The sequence below is a fragment of the Homo sapiens genome, chromosome 16 (genome assembly GCF_000001405.40).
Source record: "Homo sapiens chromosome 16, GRCh38.p14 Primary Assembly".
Lineage (NCBI taxonomy): Eukaryota > Metazoa > Chordata > Mammalia > Primates > Hominidae > Homo > Homo sapiens.
Window position 1 is genome coordinate 88402732 of NC_000016.10, and position 20069 is coordinate 88422800.

General features: G+C 60.3%; 1 protein-coding gene across 2 annotated transcripts in view, besides 1 other annotated feature; it reads left to right on the forward strand.

Annotated features, from left to right (window-relative positions):
- Positions 1–20069, forward strand: part of ZNF469 (zinc finger protein 469) — a 339823-nt gene that overhangs the window by 301801 nt on the left and 17953 nt on the right. The gene's annotated exons all lie outside the window — the stretch shown is intronic.
- Positions 7271–8470: an enhancer, noted in NCBI's record as "BRD4-independent group 4 enhancer chr16:88476410-88477609 (GRCh37/hg19 assembly coordinates)". NCBI's record gives its function as "activates an origin of replication core promoter dependent on BRD2, P300/CBP, MED14 and CDK7 cofactors, and independent of BRD4, by STARR-seq in HCT116 cells {active_cell/tissue: HCT116}" and the evidence as "EXISTENCE:reporter gene assay evidence [ECO:0000049][PMID:35650434]".

Here is a 20069-nt window from a genome sequence, read left to right on the forward strand (position 1 = left end):
CGCCTGCCTCTGGACATTATTCCTCCGGTTCCAGGGCCTCTGATGAGCTGGGTTCATCTCCCACTGAACTCCCTTATGCACTTCATCTTACCAGTGCGGAAACCGAGACAGGCCAGGCTGGGGCAGCGGTTGGCCCAGGGTCACTCCACCAGCCAGGCTTTCCCTGGGCTCTGCTGACTCTTTCAGCTGAGAACCCCCACGCCGGGAACAGGAACACCCCATCAAAAGGCCAGCCCGGCCCGGGAAGATGAAGCAGCAAATGGCAACACCCGCCGTGCATACCAGAGTGTGGACGCGTGGGAGACATGGTGCATCCAGGCACTTTTAACTTTATGGGGCCCAGAAACTTAAGAAGGAGAGGTGTGGGAGGGATCGGGGAGTCCAGGAGAGAACCTTGGGTGGAGGCCGAGTGCGGTTGGGAGCTCGGGGCCAGTGGCCGTGCTGGATGCTTCTGTCCGTCCGTTGCCAGGGCTGTGTTCCGCAGGGTGGCCATGCATCCTGGTTGCCCAGAACAGTCCCTGCTGTCTCACACCTGCTCTGGGTGAGCATTTACCCTGGACTTCTCATTTTTTGTAACATAGTGTTATTAATGGTTATGTTAAAATCCTCTGCGTGGGTTTGGTGGCTCTGGGTTCCGTCTCGCACTTGCTGAAGGGGGCAAACACAGGATCTTGTTTGGACAGTGGTGGGATTGGGCAGGTCACTGCTCTCCCAGGCACCACAGAGCTCACACCGCCATCTCGGGAGCAGCTGCTGAAACACAGGGCAGAGGGCTCCAGGTCTCGGGGTCTGCAGCCGGGCCTGTGAGCTGCCATCGAGGCCACCGTCTGCAGAGGCCAGGGAGGGTGGGACCAGGGGTGGGCGAGGGTGGCAGAGCAGCTGCTGGGACAGGGAGCAGGGCCTCCTGCCCTCGGCCCCCACAGTTTGTACCATTTGTTTCTGTCTTGATCATTGACCCTTTCCATTCTGCAATTGTTACAAACTTATAACTTGAATTGTTTTACTCTCAGAAGTAGCCTGGTGCCCACAAAGCATCCTCCATCCTCCCTAGAGGCCAAGCCCTGGGCCTGTCTGGATGCCTCCCGCCCCCACTCAGCTCAGGTGCCCCCTCCCCTCAGTCCCAGGACACTCCTCAGCCTGGTTCAAAAGCAAATTCAGGGGTTCCTGGTGGGCAAGGAGGGGCAGCGCCCTTCCCACCAGCTCAGCTCTGTGGCTTCGGGCGGTGCTGCAGGGCCCCCCAGAGGCCTCTCCGCCCTCACACTGACAGTGCAAACACAGCCTCTGTGCCGCCAGGGGGCCCAAAGCCCCCCGACTGGTCAGCTCCCCTGCAATTCTGGGATCCTTTAGAAAAACAGTGATTGTTGTTTTGCGGGACCCTTGTGTTTATGCTTTTATTGTGGACCTTTTTAAACATATACAAGAGCAGCGAGAGACATGTCACAGCCCCACACCCCCGGCACCTGGCTGCAATGGGTGCTGGCCCCTGGGCAGCCTGGCTTCATCTGTCTCTGCCCCCATGCTTATTCTTGCTGTGCTTTTACAAGCGGATTCTAGATACCAGGTCATTTCGCCTGTAAGGACTTCAGCAAGAGCCACAGCCAGGCCTTGAGAGGCCCGGCAGACTGGCCCTGGGCGGCGCCGGCGGTGCGTGTGCTGTTAGTGATTCACCAGCACGAGTGAGTTGCTCACCTGTGTGATTCAAACTGGAGTTGGTTCGAGGTTGTCCACCCACATATCCCTTTGGCCATGTTCTGTTAGGCCTTCGTGGTGGGGAGAGGAAGGGGCAGCTGTCATGGCTGAGCCACAGTGGGGATGTCGTCTGTGCCTGGGTGGCAGGGGAAGAACTGGGAGGCCTTGGAAAGGTGGAAGGCTCTAGTGCAGGGTGATTGCCCACGGACGTGCTGCTATGCAAATGAGTGCATGTGCTGGTGGGGGCAGGCACAGAGGGATGCTGCAGGAAGGAGGCACCGACCACCCAGAGGGGTGAGTGTGAGTGGCATTATGAGGAGAAAGGTAGCTAGGGACCACAGGGCTGAGTCAGGCCCTCAGGACAGCCAGTGCAGACGCACAGCAGACCCAGGACAAAATCGGCACCCAACTGGGTCACCCGTGAATCCCCACCTGGGGTCATGTTGGTCAGGACACTTTTCAGCTTCAGGAGGACAGAACGCAACTCCAAACAGACTTAGCAGAAAGGAGACTCTATTGGCTCACATAACCAGGCTGTGCAGGGGGACTTCAGGCATAGCTGGATCCAGGTATTCAAACATCAGCATGAGGATCCAGTCTAACAGGGCGGGGAGGGGGTCAGCCCTCCCGGAACCACATGAACACAGGGCAGGGGAGGGTAGCTCCACACAGCATGCTTGAGGTGCTGTTGCCAACAATGGGAGATTGGTGGTGGACAGGCAAGGAACAGATGTCCACACAGAGGGGACATTTGCAGCCACAGGATGGGCCAGGGCTAGAAAGGAGGATGAGGAGAGCAGAGCAAGAGCATCTGAGCCCTGAGCCTTGGGGTGTGGCCTCATACAGGACGAGGCTGGCACACGGGTAGCCCCTGGGCTACCGCTGTGGTTTGGCCACCACTGTTTTTAAAATATTAGAAGTGCACGAGAATATCCAAGCTTCTGTTGGAAACCAGAGGGGAGTGGCCACATGGGCCCGTGGTGCCTCCCGGCAACAGTCAGGTGGGGCCGACTGCTGCCACCCCTTGGGATGGGCCATGAGTTTCCCCAGCGTGCCCTGTGGCCCACCTGCCTCCCTGGCGTCCTCCCCCAGCAACTGAGGCATTTGCATCAGGGCCTTGGGGGCTGGAGAGGACTCCAGTGGGAAGGGCTGGGGAGTGAGTGGACACAGGTCCCCAGGGAAGTGAACACCAATGAGATTTCACCAAACACCCATGAGAGCAGAGCAGAGGGTGCAGCTGGGCCCCACGGACCCTGTGGGTGCTCAGAGTACCCCCAGGAAGTGCACGTGGGTGTGCAGGCTCCCGGCACTCCAAGCCGCCTCGGTGGGGCCACAGCGTCTGTCCCGGTCATAGCCCGCCCTGCCAAGCCCTGCCCAGCCCGCCCCACGGCCCAGGCCAGAAACGCCTCCAGCCCTGCAGCTCTTGGCCTCAGAAGCGGAAAAGCCTCTGCAGTTAGCAACACAAGACGGTTCCTGCGTCCTCCCGACCCCCGCCCCCAAAACACACACACACACACATCAGAGCGTCTTGGCAGCTGGTGAGCGCTAACGTGGCTGAATTGCTTTTGGGGACTTTGAAGGAAATTAATTAAAACCAGCTGAGATGGGAAAGCTGGAAGGTGGCGGGAGCCAGGGACAACTTTCCACAGGGCCTGGGAGGGAGCAGCCCGGAGCCGACCACGCCACCACGAGCCACCGTGTCCAGCCAGGCCCGACGACCTGCCCGGCCTCGCCAAAGGTGGGACTGCCCAGGAAACCGCCCTTCCGTGGGGCCCAGAGCTGAGTACGGGAAATGGGGTGGGAGGGCAGAAACGTGGGTGTGTCTCAGGGTGGCCGTGTATGTGTGCACGTGTGTGTTCATCCGTGTACACATGTGTGTGTTCCAGGGCAGCTGTGTGTGTGGAATGTGTCTCAGGATGGCCCTGTGTATGTGTGCCTCAGTTTACCTGCCTATCCAAGTGCCCTGCAGTGCCCCCCACGCTGGGAAGCCCCCGCTGCCCGCTGTGGCCTTCCTGTCCTCCTCCCTGCCGTGCGGGCTGCCCATGGCCAGGGTCCAGGTAGCCTGCGCCTGCCGCCTGCAGCTCAGCAGAGGATCTCCAGGTTATCGGAAGGACCCGTGCTTTGGTTCTTCTCATTACAAAAGCTGTCCCTGCCCAGGGTGAGGGACTTAGACGCAGAGGGTTCAACAGGGAGAGGAGAGGGGCAGCTGACCCCACGCGCCTGCAGCCCCTGCCTCCGAGGGCCGCAGAGTCCTCTCCCTGTGTGCATGTCTGCGGCCCCTGCCTCCGAGGGCTACAGAGTCCTCTCTGTGTGTGTGCGCCTGGGCATAGAGGTGGCTTTTCTTTGCCTTTTTTACAAAGATGGGGTTGTGCCTCGAGTACTGTTAGTGTTTTGCTTTCTTGGTTGGGGATGACACAGGGTTGGCGCCACAGCTTCCCCCGTCGGCCCCCAGGTCTCCTGATTCCCCCTAGCGGCTGTTCAGCACCCCTCAGGTCACTCAGTGCCTCGTGGGTCCCCCTCAGTGGACATTTTCTTTCATTTCCTACAATCTTTCTGCCTTAAAAATCAGCATAAACATGTTTTAAGAGACCAGGAGATCGCGCCTGTGATACTGGGGACAGTGCTTATCTGAGAAGCCTGCCCTGATTGCTGTGACCGCCGCACCTGGGCCTTTGCTCTTTCTCCACCCTCTGCGGCCCCAGGACTGAGGTGTGTGCCCGGCGCTCTGTGGCCAGCTGTCCCTGAGTGGGCGGCTGCGGCTCAGAGCTCCCAAAGGGGTGAGGTTGGGCTGGGCCCCCCAGGGTGGGAGCTCCTGCGTCACTGGGAATTGTCTCAGCTGCGTCCACACTTCCAGGGATCCGTCCGGAACCGTCGCCAGCACCTGCGTGCAGCTCTGAGCTGGGAGCCGGCATCATGGCAGGGCTCACGGTACCCTCTTCTCAGTGTTACGCGAAGGAAGGAGCAAGCCTGGACAGGGATGGGGCGGACCCTCATCAGCGTCACTCTCTGTATCTATAGCGTGGCCGATGACGCACTAATTGAGTACCCTGCCTGATCATTTTTAGTGAGAAATCACCAGGTGTCGGACACCGAACGAGGCCGTGTGCATCCGACGTCTGAGTTCATCTTCATTTCAACCCTGTGTGGCTGTGTCCTTGTCCCCGTTTTGTGCAGGGGAAACTGAGGCATGGGCATAGGAGAGTCATTTGCCCAGATGGCTGGCATGTGGCAGAGCCTGGGTTCCAGGCCTGGCATGCATTTCTAGATGGTTCCTAGCCCCCAAGTCCCACCTGTGGGCCCAGGTTTAAATTACTCCCAGGGTGGTGACACCACAGGCCCTGCCAGTGCTCAGACGCTGCCTTCTGTGAGTTGGGGGCATGGGCATCTCCTGTGGAGCCCTGCTGGTGCCCACTCTGTCTCTGAGTACAGGTTTGTGCAAATTAAGACAGTATCACAGGTAGGACATAGAAACCACATGCACACACCCGGCCATGCCTGCACGTGTGTGCCTGCTGCATCACGTGAGTGCATGCATCTGACACACGGGCACTCACTCCCCTTGCCCAGGTCATGGAAGAGACAAGCTTACTGTGTGTTGTTCCCTTTTTGCCTTGCTGGCCAGGAAGCTCAGAGCTTAGACTTCCTGTAAGCTTTTTGGTTTGTGGTTTGTGTCTCAACCTCTTGTCGTATAGGCCTCATTTTCCCTAAGCCCCCTTAGTACTTTTTTTTGTTTTTTGTGTGTGTTTTTTTGCAAAGGAGTCTCACTCTGTTGCCCAGGCTGGAGTGCAATGGCGTGATCTCAGCTCACTACAACCTCTGCCTCCCAGGTTCGAGCAATTCTCCTGCCTCAGCCTCCCGGTAACGGGGACTACAGGCACCCACCACCACGCCCGGCTAATTTTTGTATTTTTAGTAGAGACGGGGTTTCGCCATGTTGGCCAGGCTGGTCTTGAACTCCTGACCTCAGGTGATCCGCCCACCTTGGCCTCCCAAAGTGCTGGGATTTCAGGCGTGAGCCACCGTGCCCAGCCCACTTAGTACTTTCTGGAACAAAGGGAGGGCAAGTTTTCAAGAAACAAAGTTGGAAGGAGAAAAAGATTGAGGAATGAGAGGGAGGGGCTGTCACCGTAGAACCCTCACCAGAAGCGGGGTCAGCACGAGGCTCAGGAATGCCCTCCCAGACTGCCAACGACCTGCCAGCACTGACTGCTCAGGGCTGAATTGGTGTCTCCCCGCTTTCCTTCCGGAATCGTCTCTCCCTTCCAGGCTTACTGCCGGGGCCACATGGGCTTCCCAGGCCAGCCCTGACCCTCCCGCCTGGCCCCCGTCCCTGCAGACCCCAGCTGGCCCGAGAGAGGGGCCGCCTGTGCCCGGCACCCAATGCACCATTGAAGGAAAACATGGCCCCAGTGCCTTTTCCAGCCCCTGGCAGATATCCCTCTTTCTTCATTTCTTCCCTACTTTTTCTCCAAATGATGAAAGAAAAACACTCATAGGGAAGCGGGGAGGGAGGGGCTTTCTGCTGTATCCTATCCAGCCCCACCTTCTGAAGCCAGCAGCTGGGGCTTGTGTGGGCTGAAGGTCAGCCCAGCAGGGGGGCCCTCCCTAGCTGCAGGGGAGATGGGGCTGGGGCTGGGGCTGGGCCTGCAAGGAAGCTTCTCTCTGGGGGCCCCTCTGCTGCAGGGAGGGTCATGGGACCAGAGACCCCGGGAGTGCGGCCTGGAGTTGGGGGCTCGCCCACCTGTGATGTGATGTGTCTGGGCTCAGGTCAGCATTCAGGGAGGGTCAGTTCCTGACCTCACGGTGACTCAGTTTCCCCACCTGCAAAGAGGCGATGATGACGAGGTCTCTTGGAGCCATCTGTGAAATGGAGGTAGAGATGGGATCTCCATCCTTCCCTCGGAGACACTTGAGAACTGGAGGATGACCAGAGACTGAGCACGGCTAGACAAACGTGAAAGCGGGAGGGCAGCAGCCAGGACAGAGGCTGGTCACTCGAGTCCTCAGGGCAGCAGCCAGGACACAGGCCAGTCACCTGCATCCTCGGGGCAGCAGCCAGGACACAGGCGGGTCACCCACGTGCTCAGGGCAGCAGCCGGGAGTGTGGGAGGAAGAGACCCTCACCAGGGGCAGGGGGCCAGCCGGGGAGGGGTCCTGGGTGTTCAGGATGGAGGACCTTCTCCTCATAGGCCGTGTGCACCCCATGCACATATGCTATATGAGCGTGTGCACTCACAGACACTTTTTGAATGGAGACGAAAAATGCATGTGTTCACACGTGTGCAGCTCTGCGTGAGGAAAATGCAAACAAAGCTCGGTAAAGCAGGCCGGGGCCCACACATGCGGGCAGGGCATCCAGGCAGCTTGGGCAGAGTGATCAGAGGTCCTCGCTCAGTGGCCTGTGAGCGGAGGCCTGAGTGCGACAGGTGTGGTGGCCATCTTGGCCGGGGGGGGGGGGGGGGGGCGCGGGGCGTTCCAGGGCTCTGGGTGGGGCGGGCCTGGTGCAGGTCTTCCAGGCCAGCTCTGGCTGCTGGAAGATGGTGAAGCAGGGTGCGCAGCAGAGCCCAGGAAGGGGATGCCGAGTGTTCCAGTGGACGATGAGAGTCAGGGGGTTCAGAGCAGATACTGGGAAAGGCTGGATTCTAGAAGGCAGAGCCACTGATAGATCAGATGTGGGGGTGGGGGAAGGAAGGTAACTTAGCAGATCAGGGAAGCCCAACTGTTCACGGAGAAGTTCACGGTGCAGGTCACACAGTTCACGGTGACGGCTATGATGCCATTGATGGTGCAGGTCAGACAGTTCACGGTGACGTCTATGATGCCGTTGATGGTGCAGGTCACACAGTTCACGGTGACGTCTATGATACCGTTGATAGTGCAGGTCACACAGTGACATCTATGGTGCATGGTTCACAGTAACGTCTATGATGCTGTTGATGGTGCAGGTCACACAGTTTACGGTGACGTCTATGATGCTGTTGATGGTGCAGGTCACGTGGTCATGGAGAAGTTCACGGTGCAGGTCACACAGTGACATCTATGATGCACGGTTCACGGTGACGTCTATGATGCCGTTGATGGTGCAGGTCACGTGGTCATGGAGAAGTTCACGGTGCAGGTCACACAGTTCACGGTGACGTCTATGATGCTGTTGATGGTGCAGGTCACGTGATCATGGAGAAGTTCACGGTGCAGGTCACACAGTTCACGGTGACGTCTATGATGCTGTTGATGGTGCAAGTCACGTGGTCATGGAGAAGTTCACAGTGCAGGTCACACAGTTCACGGTGACGTCTATGATGCCGTTGATGGTGCAGGTCACACAGTTCACAGTAACGTCTATGATGCTGTTGATGGTGCAGGTCACGTGGTCATGGTAAAGTTCACGGTGGAGGTCATGGTGAAGTTTGCAGTGAAGCGATGACCCGACAGGTGTGGGCAAGGCCACCTCCTGCTCAGGCCCCTGGAGAAGGTCCCTCCCACCTCCTCCTCCTCCAGCCCCTGGAGGTCCCAGGCATTCCTGGCTCGTGGCCGCCTCACTCCACCTCTACCTCCATCTTCACGTGGCCTCCTCCTGCGTCCGTCTCCCTTCTCTTCATGGGGCCCTCTCCGAAGGACACCTGTCTTTGGATGTAGAGCCCCTGTAATCCAGGGCGACTCCTCTTAGCTAATCGCATCTGCAAAGACCCTATGTCTAGGTAAGGTCACATTCGTAGGTGCTGGGGTTAGGACTTGCTTTTGGGGGACACACCTCAGCCCACACCTCACAATTCCCCACCCTCCACCCAACCTCAGCAATGACAACTTCAGAGGGTGAAAGTGCCACACAGACAATGACACAGAGACGCAGGTGAGTGGCTCCGTGGGGGTGGCTCAGACCCCAGCGAGCCAGCATCTGGGCCGAGGCCTCCAGAGCCCAACGCAGCCCCGGCGGGTGGTCCAGGGGGAGTGGCGGGCAGGGGTGGTGGGGCAGCAGGGGCAAGGCCAGGAGGTGTGTATGCTTGGGCTCAGGCAGGCAGGTGAGCAGGCAGGGGTGCGAGTGGGCAGGGGTGCAAGCAGGCAGGGGTGCGAGCGGGCAGGGGTGCAAGCAGGCAGGGGTGCGAGCGGGCAGGGGTGGGTGTGAGCATGGCTCTCCCGCATGGCTGCAGCCTCAGGTGTGTTTGGAAGGACCCCTTGGCCTGCCTCAGGGAGAACGGGGTGTAGGGAGCCCCAGGAAGCTGGAGACAGGTGTCAAAATCTTCTGGGCAGGAGACGGCGGTGGCCTGAGGTGGCGCAGGGTGGATGCCAGCCCAAGTGCTGCAGGGCCTGGGGCCTCTCACTCTGTGTCCATGGCGAGTGTCTCACCCTCTCTGAGCTTGGTTTCTTTATCTGTAGGGAGTGTGTGAGGCCCCCACCTGGTTTCCCTTTCTGTCACAGCTGAACAGGCCCACACCTGGGGTCCCCTTCTGCCCTTCAGCATTCTGGGGGCCTCACAGGGCCCCCACCAGCCTGCCCTGCCTTCCCAGAAGAGACGAAACCCTGATGTTCATGGAGCCCTGGCGTGGTGTCGCACAGCAAGGCCAGGTCCAGCTGGCGAACCTGGGGTCCCAAGACCCTGTTGGTCTCGCCTCTGTCTCCTGCCAGAGCCGAGTCAGCCTCAGGCTAGGGAGGTGCAGGGGGCGGGGGGTCCGGAGAGGCAGTTGGGGAGGCAGGGGCCAGCATAGAGCCCCACCCTCCATCAGGAGCCCACCACGCCCCCTGTCCCAGGCCCACCGTCCCAGGCCCACCCTGCTCTGCCATCCCCTCTCCAGTCCCAGGCCCGAAGTAACACGTCTGCCAGTCCCACTTGGCCATGCAGGCCTCTGCGCAGCCTCAGACACAGCCACCCAGTGCCCACCTTCCCAGTGCCCTCTCCACAGCCTGCTGTGTGACTGCAGGCACCTCGCTTAACCTCTCTGAGCCCTACTGTGTGACCGCAGGCACCTCGCTTAACCTCTCTGAGCCCTGCTGTGTGACTGCAGGCACCTCGCTTAACCTCTCTGAACCCTGCTGCATCGGAGTTCATGAGGTCTTTGCCAGTGAAGGCTTTTCCTGCTCCAATGGCGGTTCCAGAAACCCTTGACCTTTCCTGGGCACAGCAGCCCAGACCCAGCCATAGAGCCAGGGACCTTTGTTCTGTCCTAGAGTTGCCCCAGACTGGGCCCTGGGATAGCAGCATGCAGCATGGGGGACAGGGAGGGCAGTCTGTCTCACCCACAGCGATGTCCCCACACTCGGTCAATATACCCGAAAGAGCGAGTGGGTGAACGGGGGACCTCGTCAGGGCGGGGACAGCTTGGAAAATGTGCAGCCCAGAGAGAACGCTCACACACCATAAACCATGCCGACGGCTTCGGCCCACATAGTAGTTACTTGTTTTACATGAATTCTTGCCAAAGTTTTTAAATGGGGAGATTTCACTTTAAAACCTGGATTTCTCAAAAATCAGAAAGTCTGCCACTGTGCTCCGTGTCCTGGCAGCCACAGCCACAGCCGGGGCCCGGGCAGCAGTGGCCGCTTATCCAACTGTGGGCATGGGAGCCCTGCGACCCCCACCTGAGTGGGAGGGTCACCGAGAGACCCAGGGCGCACCACGGCGACACCAGACCAGGCACTAGCGGTGTGGCATCCCCATTGCTCCTTCCTTGAACAAATCTGGGCCATTATCTCTGCCTTATCCAAGGCACGGGGGCCATAGTCGTGCGTAAAGCTAATTAAAATCTGGGTCCCCGCACGCACGTGATAAATGGGACAAACAGCTGCCATCCCGTGTGCACGAGAGGCCGGGACCAAGAAGGCAGAGCAGCAGGAAATGGCTGGGTGCTGAGGCTGGCGGCCTGGGCAGTGACACTCCAGGACAGACCCGCTCTGTCTCTCCCCTCAGCCTCTCTCTTCCCTTCACCCTCAAAACACCCACCTGTGGGCCCTGGAGGTGGCAGGAGGAACGCAGGAGTGAGGAGACAGCAAAGGAGAGGCCCAGCAGGCCGAGGCCCGGCGCACCGTGGCTTTCCCAGCACAGATGTGTTTTCTGTGTTTTTCTGAAAGCAGGGAGCCCTGGGCTCTGTGGCAGCCCTGCTCAGCCCCACTGGGCCCCGCCGTCCTGCCTGCCTGTGAACCCAGGCCTCTGGAGAAGTGATTCCGTCCAGAGTGAGCCTCGGAGGGTGTCCTGCAGAGCTGGGGGCAGCGTTATAGCAAGGTTCAGTCAGTCCCGCCATTGCCTCTAGCTGGGCGTTGAACTCGGTTTTCTCAGCTCTGAAATGGGGTGACTGTGGCAGTGCTGACTGCAGCTGTGGTCCGGAGGGTGCAGGACCCAGGGACATCCCAGCTCCTGGGCTCCGCGCCTCAGGGCCTGGGCAGTGCCACAGAGGCCTCTGCAGCCTCCGCAGCAGTGGGGAGAGCGACCGGGCCAGCCCCCAGGGCTGTGTGAGTGTGGTGGCAGGTGCCATGGAGGCAGGTGCCATGGAAGCAGGCGCTATGGTGGCACTTAGAGACAGTGACCCTGAGCCTCCACCAAGAGGGGTGAGGAGAAGGGCCCTGCTGCCACCTGGCCAGTGACAACCCCAAGACCATGCGGTGGAGCCGTCTGGGACCCTCAGCATCCGAGCTTTCCCTACACCCTCGGGTCTGGGACTCCCTGAAGGACAGCTGGAGGCTGCAGGCCCTCAGGGCTGGCTGCCTGCAGTGGGTCCACACCCTGTCACCCTCAGGGCCTAGATCCCGAGTCCCCAGGAAGACAGGGTAGAGTCCAACCTTGGGAGCCCAAAGCCCCCACCTGGATTCAGGCTGCTCCCTGCAGGCCACGGGCCTCCAGGTCGGACACGGCCACAGATCACGGCCACGGATCCCATCACGCCCGGGCTTCAGTCTCCAACACAAACACCTGCTGGGCATCGGGAAACGGGAACAAACTTTGGTGTGGGGTGGAGGCATCTGGCCTCGGGGGCACCTGGAGGAGGCCACAGTCTCGTTACCTCCACCCCAAAGAGCCCTGGGGACCGCAGACTCGAGTTGTTGGAGGCCCAGGGATGCTGTGGCGCCGGGATTTGAAAGGTGGCAGCCTCCCGGGAGAGAGCCGTGAGGGCAGAGGCCCCCAGGCCCGGCAGAGCTGCCCTGGATTGGGAGCAAGCTATGGCTGGGAGCGGGCCCCACGGCAGGAGGGTCCGAGGGAGAGGCAGGCCCTGTGGCCTCAGGTTGGCACCGTAGAGGCCTCCTCTGTCCTGGCTGTGGCCTCCTGCTCTCGAGAACAGGCCGAACCCAGAAGGACGTCCCAGTGGGGGGTAACTTCCCCTGCCCCAGGGAACAGGGCTCTTCAGTGCCCGGGCGGCACAGGGCCACCCCTCACCAGGCCACTGTGGCCAGAGGTCCACGCAGGACAGCCCCGCCCAGACGTCCACTGCCACCCGGCCCTGCCTTCCCAGGGCCATGGGTCAGCCAGTTAGGGCGGGGCAGAGGGGAGCACGGCCAGGCCTCCAGTTTCCAGCTGCCCAGAGACCAGCTGAGGCCACACAGCGAGTGGGAACAGCAGGGTCAGCCGCGCCAGGGCCCAGGTAGCCTCGAGGAGGCACCTGCAACAGGGAAGGGCACTGCCTCGGCCTCGCAGAGACTCCGGTCCCGGGTGCCACTTCCCACTGTGTGGCCTTGGAAAAGTCCCTTCCCCTCTCTGAGCCTCGGTTTCTCGTCTGAGCAATGGGGAGGAACAGAACCACCTTGTGGGGCCTTGAGAGGATTCATGAGGCAGTGCTGGCCCGGTGACCACCCGGAACATCAGGGACCCTCCGGGATCTCAGGATCTGTCAGGCCAGTGCCGGTCACAGCTGAGCGAGGTCCTGGAGAGGGGCCGGGAGCCTCCACCACAGCCTGCCGCCCAGGGCCTCGAACTGCCCAAGGCTCACCACCCTGCCCCACAACCTCAGGAGCCAGGGCCCTTCCCCCAAGCCCCTCCTCAAACCTCAGCCAGACTCCACCCCTGGCTGAAGGAGGGAAGAAGGCTCTGTGTCCTGGGAACCCAGGGGCCTGTGCTGCGGGGGGCAGTGCTGTGCCCATTTTACAGCTGAACACACTGAGACTGAGCCCCCAGCCTGGGAATGGCAGTGCAGTGGGAATGCCTGTCACTCAGGCCCCCTCTGCAAAGTGTCTGGAAAATCACAGCTGGCACTCCAGGTGGCCACCCAGACAGGATGTCTTCCAGGGGCAGGAGGACACGGACCCAGCCTGCTCAGGAGCAGGGAGAGCGCCCGGAAGTGACCAGAGCTGGGTGCACGTCCCAGCCCCACATCTCAGCCATGTGCCCTGGAACCCAGCACTGACACTGGAGGCCCATTTCCTCATCTGCAAACCGGGACCGACGGCTTCTTCCAGGCGTGTAGCTCCCAAGCCCCGCATGATCATTGGACCGATTGCCTGGAAGGCCACACCCGGCACACAGTCGGTGCTCATAGTGTCCTTCCTCAAGCTGGGGCGGCAGGCACGCAGCCCGGCCCCTCCCAGGACGACTCGCTTCCCAGCGCTGCAGAGCCAGAGTGCGGACACCCCATCCCCACCCAGCTCCCACCCCGGGCACTTCACTAATCCTCTCGTCCTTAGGAGGCAAAATTATAATCACTTTTAATTGAAAAAGGAGGCTGATATGATTCCGAACCCCACAGCAGCGGGAGAGTAATTAACGCAGCCACCAGGCGTCGCAGAAACCCATTAATCATGTCACTCAGGAGACAGCTCATTAAACCTCGGCTGGGGCAGTGGGAGGACCAGGTGACCCCCATGTAGGCCTCATCGGTCCCGGTTTCTCATGCAGAGACCTCACTCGAGGTGGGATGGGCTCCGTTCCCAAAAACCAGAGGCCGTGACCTTCTCAGGAGGCCACTTGACGGCACAGGGGAATCCAGGTGGCTGCTCGAAGTTCACTTACGCTATTGCTGCCCGGGCGTCCTCATCTGTGAGATGGGCCTGCTGGGGCTTCCCCACGCTGGAAGACAGACGACACCCAGGCCTCCCGTCCTACCTCCCACCCAGACCAGCTTCACACTGTCACACGTTGTGATCTTAGTGGTGTGTGACTTCGGCAGGATCTCCAAGGCAAGCTCTGGGCCTAGCCGGAAGCTTCTGACCCAGAGAGTCTGGGTAGGCCCCAGAAAAGACCACTGAAAGAAGCCACTTCAGACGCCACCACCATTACCGTGAGAAATTGCACGCAGGGCTTCATTGGGAAAGAGTAATGGAAAATAACTAGGGTTTCTAGCATCAACAAGCAGTCACGTGGTGATTGGTTGTTTTAGGGGAGGGATGGTAACAACCTTGCCCACAAAATCAAAACCCCGCAGGACCACGCACCCTTCGCCCTTCCAGGGCTCCCTCCACGGGACCCAGCCTGCAGAAGGGTCCTGCAGGAAGTGGCACGCTCGCTCCCCGGGAGGGGTACCCAGGGCTCCTCTTGGGGGACCAGAGCCTGAGCAGGGGCCTGTCCTGCGGTCGGCGTCTACCCCAGGGCCTGGGACTGTCAGGTCAAGGTCAGCCACCCACACACTCAGGGCGTCCTCCTGGGGTCCCGTGGAGTCTCCGTGGTACTCGGCTTCCTTCTCGCTGTGACAGGGTGAGGGCTGACAGCTCCAAGAGAAAGGCAGACTTGGGCACCGCCTGCCCTTTTCCAGAGCTGCTGCTTGGCACATGGAGGACTGTTTGTCTGCTGGGCCTCCCCCAGGAGGCCGAGAGCAAGGCCCCCACCCACCCTGCCCAGAGCGTCGCTGCAAGGGAGCTCAAAGCCAGGGGCGAAAGAGCCCAGGCTCCGCCACTGTGTGGCCTGGGGCAGGCCCACACCCTTTCTGAGCCACTGTTCCCATCTGTGAAGTGGGCACACTGACCGAGTCACCCTCAACGATCCTCATTCTAGAAATCCAAGGCAGGGCTGCTCGACCGGCCAATGAGAGAAAGGCACCCCCGTCTTTGGATTTTAAAGTGGGTTCTGGGGCTGTGGGCACCGTTGCCCATTCTAACCACCTGCCACCTCCACACCCTGGACGAGCCGTCTCAGCCTTGGGATACCCGCCTGGCTGTATTCACCTTGGCTCTGCTAGAAGGTTCCTGGGGCCAATGAATCCCAATCCAGTCCCCGCAAGCCAGATGCCTGGCGGGGCGGCCCCCAAACGTTTCTCGCTCCCCGCACATGGTCCCTCTTCCTACACCCTTTGGGCAGGGGAGAAGGACCCTCAGACAAATGTGCTGATGGAGGCAGCTGGCGTTTGCTGGGCTCCGGTACAGCATTGACATTTAGAGGGTAGGCTGTGTCTCCAAAGTCATTTCTGGACAGCATGCTACAGTTGCACCTCCACCTCCCAGTGCCGGGGAGCTCTCAGAGTCTCCTATAGAAATGAGGCCCCAAAGCCCCCCATGGCCTGGCAGGGGAGTGTGCGTGAGCCCACGTGTGCATGGGCATGTGTGGATGTATGCACGTATGAGCATGTGCTCACGCGTGTGCATGGATGAGCATGCATAACTGCACACACCTGTATATGTGTGCATGAGTGTGTCCACGTGTGTGCTCACAGGGAAGGCCTGTCCCCACCCTGCAGCCCACCCGAATTGGTCCCTCACCCTAACCTAGAGCCCCAGGTTCAAGGAGCAGCTCCTGGAGACCCCAGGAATAACAGCTGCCCCAGCTGGACTCTACCCGGGCTCCTGAGCACCAACTCCCTGCCAGGCCCAGGATGGGGGCAAGCAGAAGACCTGCGGCCCCAACCGGTGTGATGCCGGCAGTGAGGACAGGGGACAGTACAGCAGCAAATGGACACCATCTACAGAGCCGGGACCAACAGCAACAGCTCTGTGGTCAGGGAGGGCTTCCTGGAGGAGGTGGCATTGGAGCTAAAGCTGAAGGCCCATCTCGGTGAGGCCGTGGAGGGTTGTCTAGGAGACTGAGCAGAGCTGGGTTGGGGCCTGGCCACTGATGAGGTCCTGGTGTCCTTCTGGGTAATGACCCCCTGAATATTGGCCTTTGTGGCACAGAGGGGCAGAGGAGAGGGGGGCTGCCGTTCTTGCCTGCCTCTTGCCATGTGCCAGCTCTCAGCAATTTCAGTGGGTGGCAGGGCTCCGTCTTTAAGCACAAATCCCCACCGCCCCCCCGGCCACCTCCCTGTCATTTTCGAAGACATCATTTTCTTTCCCCATGTGCCCCCTTATCTCCCTCCTGTTAAAGGATCTCGAATAGGCACCCCGATAAGACAGGACGAACACCATTCCCCAGCCCCTCCAATGCCGGCCTCCACTTTCCCCCAAAGTAATTAAGATAAATGCAGCTGATAATTTGCGCCGTATTCTTAAACTTACCCTCCGGGCCATATCTCAGATATAATTTTACCTGCAAAGGTTTATCTGAGCACTCAGGTAACAGATAGTTTTTAAGCAAAGCGGCAGCGTTTGAAGCAAAAGGAAAGGAGAATGTTTGTGAAATAAATGTCAGGAGGCAGCAGCGCTGCAGCCCCGTACGGCGAGGACTACAGACGGGAGGCCCCTGTGCTTTTCTCCTGGGCTGCTCGGCTCCACCAGGGTTTGGGGTGAGCCTGGCCGCCTGCCCAAGTTGTGAATGGGGCCGGATGGGTGTGATGGGCAGACACGATGCTCAGGATGAAGGCCGGGGCACAGCCGAACTCCTCCCTTTTCCCAGCCTTGCTGTCTCGGGTGACCTGGGACCGGAGGCTGCTGCCCAGCGGTGCTGGCACACATGGCATCTGGCTTTGTGCTCCACACCCATCGGGGAGAGGCTAGCTGGCTTCAGGGGCCGTGCCAAGCCACGGAAGGGGGGTCAGACAGCAGGGGACGGTGCCCAGGGTGACACAGCTCGGACAGGATCAGCCCTGGTGGGCAGCCAGAGGCCGGAGGGAACCGACAGACTGGACCGAGCTGGTCCGAGGACGGGCCGGTGCCTCCCAAACAGACCGGGAGAGCTCAGCACGGGAGGCCAACATCCTGACCCCGGCTCTGCTCCCCAGACTTGCCATGTGACCTTGGGCAGGTTCTGTGAGCCTCAGTTTCCCCCATTCGGCCTGGAAGCCCAGCTGCTCTTCCCAGCCCGGTCCCACCCCATGGCACATATTTCTTGGCCCTTGTGTGGTGTCCAGGGTGGGACAGGTGGGGCCCTGGGATTGGGTGTGGACAGCCTCCCTAACCCCCGGCAGCCTCCCACTCCCTGCCCCTGAAGCCCATGCTGGTCCCACCCCTTGAAGCGCCGTCTGCCCCCTCAATAGCACTCCACCCCTCCTCAACGTTCCTCCAACAGCCAGGAATGCCCCCAACGCCATGCCTGAGAGACCCTCACCCAAGGCCAAGCCTCGGCTGAAGAGTCACATCATCAGAGCAGCCGCTCAGGTCACCCAGAAGGCCCCATGTCCCCACTCTTCTCTCTCAGGCCAGGGCCTTGGAGCTGGGATTGAGCCAGGCAGGACTCGGGGGCCTGTGGGGCTCACGCAATGCCCTCCTCTGCCAAAGGGAGGAAGGCACAGAGAGGGGTGGAGGCCGGCCTGAGGCCACACAGCACACAGTAGCAGACCCTGGCTGCAGGTGGGGGCCAGATCCCAACTGCAGGTTCAGCTCTCAGCCATGCTGTCCTTCCCCAGTGCCATGTCTGGAAAGCGGGGCCACACGCAGGTTCCATGTGTGGGGAAGACAGGGCACATGCACCAGGCCCCACTCCCACACCGGGACGAGGGAAGAAAGGGCAGTTCTCCCGCAGCTCCCCCTCGCCTGGAACCCCACGCTTTCCGCTCTCCCCACAGAGGGGCTGAGGAGAAAGGGAGAGCCAGTCCCTGCTGTTTGGGAAGGCACGGGCCAGCCCTGACGACAGCAGAAACAACCAGGAGAATGAAGCCTACCCCACACCAGGGATGGATGCAGCTGAAAGGGCTGGGACCGTTCACAAGGAGGAGGAGCAGGTTGCTTAGGATGCCTGGCTGCAAGTGGGACTGCGTGAGCGTTGATATCAGGGTGTCACAGACAGGCCCAAGGACCCATCAGATCCAACCTCCATTTACAGTTGGTGAAACTGAGGCCAGGAGGCCCAATTGGACAGTGGCACTCCAGTTGGGCAGTGCAGCCGAGTGTGCAGGGCTCCCAGGCCTGGTCCCCAGGGGATGGCCACCAGGATGTGGAACGACAGGCGCCCTTTGAGAATTGCAGGATCATGGAGACACGCCCGAGGAGTTCACACCACACGCAATCCAGGAGGGCTTCCTGGAAGAGGGATGCCATGCTTCTGAGCAAACGTCTGCTAGGCACTCACTGCGTGCTGGTTTGTGTGCTCCATGAGGTGGCTTGCGTTGTTCTGTTTAACCCTCTGACCACACCCTGTGAGGTCAAGACTCTGATCATCCCCATTTCACAGGTGGGAAAACGGGCTCAGAGAGGCTGGGACGGGGCTTGGATCCCACAGTCAAGGAGTGCGGGATCTGAGAGTCAAGCCCAGGTGGGGCTGGCCCCAAAGCCCCCTGTGTGGTTGGCCAGGAGTGAGTGGGGGTCGGGAGGAAGGGAAACGGGAGGGGCAACCCAATCCGAGGGATCTTCTCCAGCAGAGGCCCCAGGAGGGGCTGGGAAGGAAGGGCCAGGGGTGGGACCAGGGGCAGATTGGGGAGAACCTGGCTCTCGAGGGTGCACAGGCCATAGCTGAAACTGAGCAGGTTGAAAGAGGAGGTGAGGCGAAGAGGGTTGGGAGCAGCGGCCAGGGGTGGGGCAGAAGCGTGGGGGCAGGAGCCCAGGTGGGGGCACCCCTCCTTTCAGGCACTGGCATTCCCCCACACCCCCAGCCAGAGCCACCCCAACCTGCTCTTGAGTTACCAGAGCGCTTGGCCGGCTAAAGAGGGGCCAGTTCCTATTTCTGAGAGAAAAGGAGCCGCTCGTGCTCCTCCGGGGTCTCCCTGGGGCCAGCCCTAGATCTGGGGGATAGGATCTCCCGACTTCAAAGGGGTCCGGCCTACTGAAACCCACACCGACAGGCTGGCACCAAGGGGCTCTGCCAAGAGCCTTGGCGGGGCCAGAACCCAAGGCCTGGAGCACATGCCGCCCCATGCCCACCCCAGCTCCAAGGACTGGGACGCGTCCCCGAGCCCCTGGAGGGACAGCTGGCAGCTGGCCCTCGAGTGCCCTGGGGTGCTGCAGGCAAATGTCCCTGCTGTCCTGGGGCAGAGGAAAGGGGATGGGATGGCCAAGTTCTGCCCGCAAGCTGGGCAGGCAGAGGCAGGGCCACCCCAGGAGATGCGAAGGACAGAGGGACAGGGTGTGGAGGCAGTGGGGTGGGGCCACCCTTTGTTCAGCGCGGAAGAAGCACAGTTATAGACAGTCCTGCCTTCAAATCTCAGCTTGGCTGTGTCAATTGTGTGACCTTGGACCCGTCACACCACCTCTCTGGGCTGCAACTTCCTCACTTGCAGCAATTTCTTGATTCACTGACTTTCTGGTCAGCCTAAGGCTGCGAATCTGTCACATCACTGTGTGCCCAGTGCCTGACACAGCATCCAACACAAATGTAAAGACTTGTGGATGGATGGGTGGGTGGGTGGATGAGTGGGTAGATTAGAGGGGATGGGCAGGTGGGTAGATGAATGGGTGAGTGGGTGGATAGATGGGTGGGTGGATGAATGGGTAGAAGGGTGGACGGGTGGCTGACTGGGTGGATGGATGGATGGATGGATGAGTGGGTGGATAGATGGGTGAGTGATGGGTGAACGGGTGGGTGGATGGGCAGGTGGATGGGCAGGAGGATGGGGGGACGGGCACGTGGATGGATGCATGGGTGAGTGGGTGGATAGATGGGTGGATGAATGGTAGAAGCATGGATGGATGGGTGGATGGATAGGTGGGTAATGGATGGATGGATGGATGAGTGGGTGGATAGATGGGTGAGTGATGGATGGATGGGTGAATGGGCAGGTGGATGGGGGGATGAATGGGTGGATGAATGAATGGGTGAATGGGTGGGTGGATAGATGGGTGGACAAATGGTAAAAGGGTGGATGGGTGGGTGGGTGGATGGATGGGTGGATGGGTGATGGATGGATGGGTGGGTGGATAGATGGGTGAGTGATGGGTGGATGATGGGTGGATGAATGCATGGATGGGCAGGTGGATGGGGGGATGGGCGGGTGGATGGATGAATGTGTGAGTGGGTGGATGATTGGGTGGAAGGGTGGATGAGTGGGTGGGTAGATGGATGGGTGGGTGAGTGATGGATGAGTGGGTGGATGGATGGGTGGGTAGATGGACAGATGGGTGGGTGGGTGATACATGAGTGGGTGGATGGATGGATGGATAATGATGATGGATGAGTGAATGGATGGATGGATGGATGGATGGATGGATGGTTGGATGGATGGATGGGTGGA